A 9,346-nucleotide genomic window follows, 5' to 3' on the forward strand; every position below is an offset into this window, starting at 1 on the left:
CTGGCAGATGGACACGAATGTGCACACTGGGATCTGGAGTTGCCTTCTGCTCAGATTCCACCGGCTCCAGTCACATGGCCTTAGATTGTGCTGCTTTGCTCTGCTAGAGCTTGCTTCCTGAGCTGTAAAAGCAAGATGACTTAAGGAGGGTAGGGAGCCCATTCGCTCAAGGCTTTGGGCTATGTAGCCTTAGCAGCAAATACCAGGCTGGCCACCTGGCTTCTGGCTGGGAGGCATCATGTCAACATCATCGATGTAATACATAACTGAGGCTCCACTCTTTCCTCCTGGGCTTCTTGGGCAAAGTAATTGCTAAGAACACCTTTTAAAGGTGCAATGACAGCTGTGTTGTGAGACATAACACAGTTCACACTTTTTCCAGATTCACCACTACTTAGTTTAATGAGAGATGCATTGAAAAGACTGTTATAGGAAATCTTAATAATATAAAAATGAGGTTTATACAATTACAGAGCTTGATGTTGTGCAAGTTCGAGTGCTGTCTTCTCTGTCAGAGGGCAAGCCACAGGATGTAGAAGCCTGTGATGGATAGACTTGTGGTGAGAGAGGCTGAGGAGATTTTTATGTGAGGAAGGCATGTGCCACCCCATTAAAATCCACCGATCGCAAAACTGAATTCTTCAAATGCTTTGCATATCTACTCTGTAAAAAAAAACAAAAAAACAAGTGATGACTTCAAAGCCTTCAATCAGGAAGGTTTCCTTAGACCAGCCTCTAAGGCACATGCCTGGGTGCGCTGAGCTCTGAACTTGACATGTTGGGATGGAAAACATCTCTCTGTTCTAAATGCACCTCCCAGTCTTGTTCCAGGTGTATCTCTGATGAAAGAAGTTTTGTCAAGGAATCGTGATGCTGTTGGGGACTGAAGGTATGATTCTAGTGAGAAAATTAGAAGTACTTTGCTTAGGAATAAATTTAAATTATTGTGAGATAAACACTTTGCATTTATTACTTTGAATATTATATAGAACACTAGACACATTTATTTTTTCTTCGTGTTATGGATAATTATTAATTCAGTATTAGCAGAGGCAAAAAAAGTCCAATTGAAATACTACCCAGTTTTTTATTTGGCAATACAATGATGTTATATAACGTTTTAACAATCCAGCTATAGAGGGAGAACAGGGGAAAGAATGAACATGGCATTACAATTTAATTCCAGCCCATGTTTATCCCATAAAGGTTCCCAAGGTCTTGGGTTCCACTGGGCTTTCCCTGACCACCTAGGAGGACCATGGCCACACAGCACGTATCCCATCTGTCTGAGAATATTCCTTGAGATGAATGGAGCCCGAGTTCACAGGAAGTAGAGATGAGGGGGCGGAAGAGGGAGCCCGGTGAAATTCAACAAAGCAAGTATAAATCAAATGTCTATTTTCTTCAGAGGAAAAATGAGGAGAAAGCACCAATTTCAGCAGGCCAAATGCTCTAAAGACTCTCCTCCGTAAAGCTCTATTTTTATATATCCCTATTGCACATGTAGCACATGAAAACAAAATTGTGCTCTGCTAAGCAAATGGGCTTATATGCCACATCCTCCATCACTATGACAGAAGAAAATGAAATTCCTTAAACAATGGTTACGTTTCAACATTCAGTATTAACTGGTTTTCACTAGTGTTGCTGAGACATATTTCTAAGTTCTATTTATAATAAGATAACTCTTTTACCATCTGAGGAAACTTCTAGATAAAAAGCTCTCACAAACACCTAAACAGGTTAGTATTGTGTTTCATTTTATTTTCCCCTTGAAATGTCCTGGTTGTCCTGTATCCTGGAAGAATAAGCAGGGGAGACCAGCGTGCCCAGAGGCCAGGTAAATGCCACTCTTCCCAATATTCCGGGCCTTCAGGGAGAAGCCATGCCTCTCTGGGTCTTGCATAGGAATCAAACACAAGGCTTCAGTTCTCTGATCTTTTCTTTAAAATCAACAAACCCCTCTTCACTTGCTATTTGTGAGACATTGCAGAAGTTTAAATCTTTGCTGCTTGTTTTCATCATTGCTTGCTCTGCATGTGGGAGTGAGAAAAAGATAGTTGCTATTACTGTTTCCTTTATCTGTTACCTGGGCCCACATCATAACGTAATGCAGTCTCAGGAAACGGCCTACGTGAAGTGTGACAGCAGCTTATGTTTCAGGGTTCCAGAAGAAAAGGCATTTTCACCAGCGCCATGAGAGCTGTTATGGAGCACATGGTGACAGCAACATCAAGTCAGTAAACGAATTAAAGCTGCAGGAACTTAGAGATCTTTGTTTAGAAATTATTCAACCATTTGATTTTTGAGTATTCAATATACAAAAAAAGCAAACGAAAATGTAAATTTGTAGTGTCTTTCCATCTTTATGTAGGACTTCAGACTTTTCCGCAAGTCTTTCCAAAGGCAGAGAAGGCTACAAGAAAAAAAAGTAGCATTTCTACCTGTCAGGATTGCCTGTGGATCTGGCCCAGGCCCCAGGTCCACTGTGGTGCCAGACACGCAGACATGGAGTTCATCCTTCTGAAACACTAGGACCGGGAAGAAATGATCAGAACAAGCCAAGGGTCCTCCCAGATGACAATCAACCAAATTTGAGAGAGGATAACTTCACAGGTGCTATAGAAGCCAGCCAACATCCTAAAACCTGAACTGGCATTTAACTGGCACCATATGAATGATCCAGGGGGTCTAGAAAGGGGTGTTTGGTTTAATTCTCTTCTGTCATAGAGCTGGCCTTGCAAATCAGTGCCCTGAATTGAGGAAGCTTCTATTTTTCACTCCCAATCATTCTGGTAATGGCTGACTTTCTACCATTAAACAGGCAGAAACTGGTTTGTCAAGCTTTCTATTTCTTTGAAAGCTCCTTCTTAAATATAACTCCCATTGATAGGTGAAACCCCATAAACCTTACTTAGACAGTTACTTCTGAGAGTCACATAATGGGATTTAATTCCTTAAATAAATAGGTTACAATTTGCACTTAGTTCAATGGAGGTAGAATTTGTATATTTGAGACAGGAAATGAGATGAAAGGTTTGAAAGTCAGGTGAGATTCCTGATATTTAGTATTTTTTATTGAGATATAACTCATTTACTATACAATTCTCTCATTTAAAGTGTATAATTCAATAGTGTTTAGTACACTCAGAGTTGGGCAACCATCGCCACAATCAACTTTAGGAAGTTATCACCACCCCAAAAAGAAAAGCTGTATCCATGATCAGTCACTTCTCATTCTTCCCCAGCCTCCCCCAACTCATCCCTAGGTGGCCATTAATCTACTTTTTGTTTCTATAGATTTGTATCTGCTGGAAATTTGTTAAGTTTTATCATGAAGTAGGTGGTCTTTCATGACTCGCTTCTTTCATTTAGCATAATGTTTTCAAGGTTCATTCCTGTCGTAGCCTGCTTCTGTCTTTCATTTATTTTGTTGCTGAGTAATATTCTGCTGTAAAGATACATCACATTTTATGTAACCATTCATCAATTGATGAACATTCAGGTTGTTTTCACTTTTTGGTGATTATAAATAATGCTGCTGTGAACACTCATGTACAAGTTTCTGAGTGGATATATTTTTATTTGTATTGGGTATATACCTATCCATCACTTCTTAAGAAACTGCCAGATGTCTGCTGTTGTACATTCCCCAATGCACAATGGTGAATGAAGATTCCAATTTCTCCATATTCTTACTCATAATTATTATGTTTTTTTAATTATAGCCATTCTCGTGAGTATAAAGTGGTTTTTATTTGCATTCTCTGACAGCTAATGATGTTGAGCGTCTTTTCATTTGGATGTTGGCCATTTGTATGTCTTCTTTGGAGAAAATTCTACTGGAATACTTTGTCCATTTTAAAAATTGAGTTATTTATCTTCTTATTCTTGAGTTATGTGTTTTTTATTAAACGTATTCTATATAGAAGTCCTTTGTCACATATATAAATTACAAACGTTTTCTCTTTCTGCAGGTTCTTTTTTTGTTTTTACTTTATTGACAGCATCTTTCAAAGCAAAAGTGTTTTAAATTTTAACAAAATACAATTAATCTATTTTTTTCTTTTGCTGTTTATGCTTTTGGTGTGATATATAAGAAACTATTTCCTAGTGCGAGATCATGTTTCTTCTAAAGGTTTTGTAGTTTTAGCTCTTACCTTCAGGGCTTTGATTCATCTTGAGTTCATATATTTTATATATATGAGATGGGGATCCAAATTCATTCTTTTGCATGTAGAGATCCAGTTGTCTCAGAATCATTTGTTAAATACCATTGTCTCCTTCTTAAGTTGCCTTGCACTCATTGAAAAAGCAATTGACAACATGTGTTAGGGTTTTTTGGACTCTTAATTCTACTTCATTGATTACTTGTCTTGATTACTATAGCATTGTATTAAGATTTAAAATTGGGAATTGTTCTCTTACAATACAAGATTGTTTTGGATATTCTGGGTTCCTAGAATTTCCATATGAATTTTAGGAGAAGCTTTCTGAATTCCCCAAAAACCCAGGTAGAATTTTGATAGGGATTTATTGATTGTGTGGCTCAATTTGAGAAATATTACATCTTAACAATATTAAGTCTTCTGACCCATGATCATGGGATGTTTCCCAATTATTTAGGTCTTCTTTAATTTCTTTCAATAATGTTTTATAGTTTTCAGAATATAAGTTTTAGATTTCCTTTGATAATTTTATAAGCATTTTATTTTTTATAATACTAGTGTAAATTGAATTTTTAAATTTATTTTAAGATTGTTCATTGAAAGTGTGTATAAATAAAATTGATTCTTGTATATGAAGCTTGTATCCTACATCCTTGCTGAACTCATTTATTTCAATAGCTTTTAGTGGATTTCTTAGGATTTAGTATATACAAGATAATGTCATCTTCAAACAGAGACAGTTTTACTTCTTTTTAATCTGGATGCATTATAGGTCATTTTCTTATGCAACTCTCTTGGCTAGGACCTCTCATATAATGTTGAATGAAAGTGGTGAGAATAGATGTTCTTGTTCTGTTCTTGATCTTAAAGGGAAGGAATTCAGTGTTTCACTGTTAAGTGTGATGCTATGTGTGGGTTTCTCACAGATGCCCTTTATCAAGTTGAAAAAGTTGCCTTCAATTCCCAGTTATTTGAATGTTGTAATCATGAAGGGGTGTTGTATTTTGTCAAGGGTTTTCTCTGTATCTATTGACAAGATCATGTGGGATTTTGTCTTTATTCAATATATCAACAGCATTAATTGAATTTCTTACGTTAAACAAATCTTACATTTCTAGGTAAATCCCATTGATCATTATGTGAAATTCTTTTTATATATTTCTGGATCCAGTTTGCCAGTGTTTTATGAGGATTTTTCCATCTACATTCTTAAGATTTTCTTTCTGAGTTTGATATCAGGATAATATTGGTCTCATAGAATGAATTTAGAAGTGCCTTCATTCCTACTGTCTTCTACTTTTGGAGGAGAGATTGTGAAAAATTAAAGTCAATTCTCCTTTAAATGTTTGGTAGAATTAATCAGTGCAGCCATTTGGCCTTGGGATTTTCTTTGCTAGAACATTTTTGATTGCTAACTCAACCTTTTTACTTTTTATAGGTCTACTAAGATTTTCTATTTCTTCCTAAGTTTCAGTAGTTTATATGTCTCTAGGAATTTATCCATTTCATCTGTGTTATCCAATTTGTTGGTGTATAATTGTCCATAGTATGTCATTAAAATCACTTTTACTTATGTAAAGTTGGTAGTAATTTTTCTCTTTTACTTCTGATTTGAAGCATTTTAGTTTTCTCTGTTTTTCTGGGTCAGTCTAACTAACTAAGGGTTTGTCAATTTAGTTAACTTTTTCAAAGTTCCAATTTTTGGTTTATTTGATTTTTTTTCTATCTCTGGTTCAAGTATTTCTGCTCTAATCTTTCTCATTTTTGGGAGGTTTTGCTTTTGGTTTAGTTTGCTATTCTTCTTCTAGTTTTTTTTAAGGTGGAATTTTTAACTGTTGATATGAGATATTTCTCATGTAATTGTAGGCATTTACTGTTATAAATTTTCCTCTGAGTACAGCTTTCACTGCATCCCATAAGTTTTACTATGTGTTAATATTTGTTTTTATTTATCTCAAACTATTTCCTGATTTTGCTTGTGATTTATTGCTTTACTGCTTGTTATTTAAGAATGTGTTGTTTAATATCAGACTTGTGGCTTTTCCAAATTTCTTTTTGTTATTAATTTCTATCATTTGAAATTGATCATTGAGATCAGAGGAGATATTTTCTGTGATTTCAATCTTTTACATCTATTGAGACTTGTTTTATGGCCTGACATTTGATCTGTCCTAGAGAATGTTACACGTGCACTTGAAAAGAATTTATATTGCTGTCACTGGGCGGAGTGTCCTACAGATGTTCATTAGGTCTAGTTAGTAAGCAGTGTTGTTCAAGTCTTCTATTTCCTTGGTGATTTTCTGTCTAGAATTCTATACATTGTCAAGTATTAAAGTGTGCAACTATTATTGTTGACTTGCCTATTTTACCCTTCAATTCTCATAGTTTTTGCTCTATGCAATTCAGAGTTTGTTTTTAGGTGCATATATGTCTATAATTGTTCTATGTTCTTGATGGATTGACATTTTTTATCTAAAATGTCTTTGTCTCTAGCAACAATTTTGTTCTAAAGTTTATTTTTTCTGATATTAGTATGGCCACTTCACCTCTCTATTGGTTACTATTTTCATAGTACATCTTTTCCATACTTTTACTTTCAGCCTATTTGTGTCATTTTAACTAAAGTCTCTTATCAACAACATATAGTTGGATAATAATTTTCATCCTTCAAAATTCTCTGATTTTTAATTGAAACTTTTATTCTAATCACATTTCATGTTATTCTTGATAACATGAAATTCTTGATGGTTGGATTTATGTCTTGATAGTTGGATTTATTCTTGATAGTTGGATTTATGTCTACCATTTTACTTTTGGTTTCTGTGTCACACAATTTTATTTCTCTATTCTTTAATACTTTCACATTGAGTGAATAGCTTCTAGTGTAACATTTTCATTTATTTAATGATTTTTTACCATTTTTAGTTATGTTCTCAGTAATTGTTCTACAGCTTACCATGTATACTTTAACTTATGAGAATCTATTTGTGATGTTTACTAACTTAACTCCACTGAGATATGAAAATACTACTCTTATATAGTGCCATTTTTTTCTTCTTTTTATTGTGCTTTCATTGTTATACATCCTACAACTATATATACTACAAACCTAACAATACATAGTTAAAATTATTGCTTTAAATAATTTTATATTTATTATTAAGAAGTTGGGACAAGAAAGGAGAACATGTATGTTGCAGCATTTGCTAAATTACACTTCTCATTTATTATTTCTGGCCCTCTTCATTTGTTCTGTGGGTTCATATTATTGTCTGCTATTATTTCCTTACTACAATGCATCTTTGTTCCCATACACTCCTTTCAAGCTGTTATTGTCAAAAATATTGCATTTCTATATTATATGGACCCAATAAGGCAATCATATACATGCTACTTTGTACGGTTGCTTTTTAAATCAGTTCAGAGGACAAGAAATATGTACTTATATTGTCTATCATAATTAATTACCCGTAACAATGCTCTTTGGGGTGTGTGTGTTTGTGTGTGCATGTGTGTGTGTGTGTGCGTGTGTGCGTGTGTATGTAAGTCAAGTACTGTCTGGGCTCACTAGCATTCAGCCTGAACAGCTTCCTTTAGTATTTTTTGGAAGGCAAGTTTGCTAGTGATGAATTATCACAATTGTGCTCATCTCAGAATGTCTTTACCTTCAATTTTGAAAGACAGTTTTGCGATACATAGGATTCTTGGTTAACCTTTTTTTTTTCTTTTGGCACTTAAAAATGCCATCTCACTGTCTTCTAGTCTTCACAATGTCTGATGAGAAGTGAGTTATTAACCTCACTGGGCTTCCCTTCACTTGACAAATCATTTTTCTTCTACTGCTTTCAAGATTTTCTTCTTGCCTTTAAATTTTTTTGAATTTTTGCTATGATGTGTCTGGGCACGAATGTGTTTGGGTTTATCCTGCTTAGAGTTCATTGGGATTTTGAATATTTCCATTAACGTTTTTTATTAAATTTGAAATATTTTTAGTCCTTCTTTCTTCAAATAATTTTTCTGCTCTTCTCCTTCTTTCCTTTTGATTCTCCTATCACACATGTATTGTCTACTTTTTTTTTCTTTTTTTTGCAAGAACTCTCACTCTGTCACCAGGCTGGAGTGCAGTGGCGTGATCTCGGCTCACTGCAACCTCTGCCTCCTGGGTTCAAGCGTTTCTCCTGCCTCAGCCTCCGGAATAGCTGGGATTACAGCCACGTGACACCACTCCTGGCTGATTTTTGTATTTTTAGTAGAGATGGGGTTTCACCATGTTAGCCAGGATGGTCTCGATCTCTTGACCTTGTGATCCACCCTCCTTGGCCTCCTAAAGTGCTGGGATGACAGGCGTGAGCCGCCACGCCCTGCCAATATGTTGTGTGCTTAATCATGCTCCAAATTTCTCTCAGAATCTGTTCATTTTCATTCACTCTCTTTTCAATTTGCTTTTCACACTGTATAATCACTATCAATCTATCTTCAAGTTCACAGATTCTTTCTGCTGCCAGTTCTAAATACTCTTTAGTCCCTCTAATTCATCTTTCCTTTAGGTTATTACACTTTTAATCTCCATAATTTTCATTAGTTTCTTTAAAAATAATTCCTACTTTTTATTTATATTTTCTGTTTGATGAGACATTGCCATTATAGCTTTCTTAATTCATTAAGTGTGGTTGACTTTAGTTCTTTGAACATAGTATTTAAGGCTACTGTAACATCTCTGTCAATTTCAACATCTAGGCCTTCTAACAGACAGTAGTATTTTGTTCCCTGCTTTTTTGTTTTTGTTTTTCTGTGTACATCACATTTTTCTGTTTCTTTGCATCTTCTATTTTTGATTGAAAACATAACTTTTCAGGTAATATATTGCAGCAGCTCCTCCTCACTTCTGGGCATATTTTTGTTGCCATTTCCTTATGTATTTATTTGTGGCCTGAGCTAGACTCTTTTAGTAACATTTATTTCGTCCATGATGTGAAGCCTCTGATGCTGTCCTTACAGTCTTGGACATTCACCCGGTCACCCTCAGGTAACAGTGGCTTAAAGAGGTTCTCACTGCCTGTTTCTTCCTCTCATCTCTCTGTCAAGCTGTCAGCTTCGTTTGGATAATACCCAGCTGTTTGCCTCCCTTAGTTGCCAGCTGATTGCTCTCATTTTTGGCAGTGGACGAGTGCATAGGT

At 35.3% G+C, this 9,346-nt stretch overlaps 1 annotated feature.

The window, feature by feature from the left end:
* Positions 1,486-2,685: an enhancer, noted in NCBI's record as "BRD4-independent group 4 enhancer chr5:5943193-5944392 (GRCh37/hg19 assembly coordinates)". NCBI's record gives its function as "activates an origin of replication core promoter dependent on BRD2, P300/CBP, MED14 and CDK7 cofactors, and independent of BRD4, by STARR-seq in HCT116 cells {active_cell/tissue: HCT116}" and the evidence as "EXISTENCE:reporter gene assay evidence [ECO:0000049][PMID:35650434]".

The sequence above is a fragment of the Homo sapiens genome, chromosome 5, assembly GCF_000001405.40.
Source record: "Homo sapiens chromosome 5, GRCh38.p14 Primary Assembly".
NCBI lineage: Eukaryota > Metazoa > Chordata > Mammalia > Primates > Hominidae > Homo > Homo sapiens.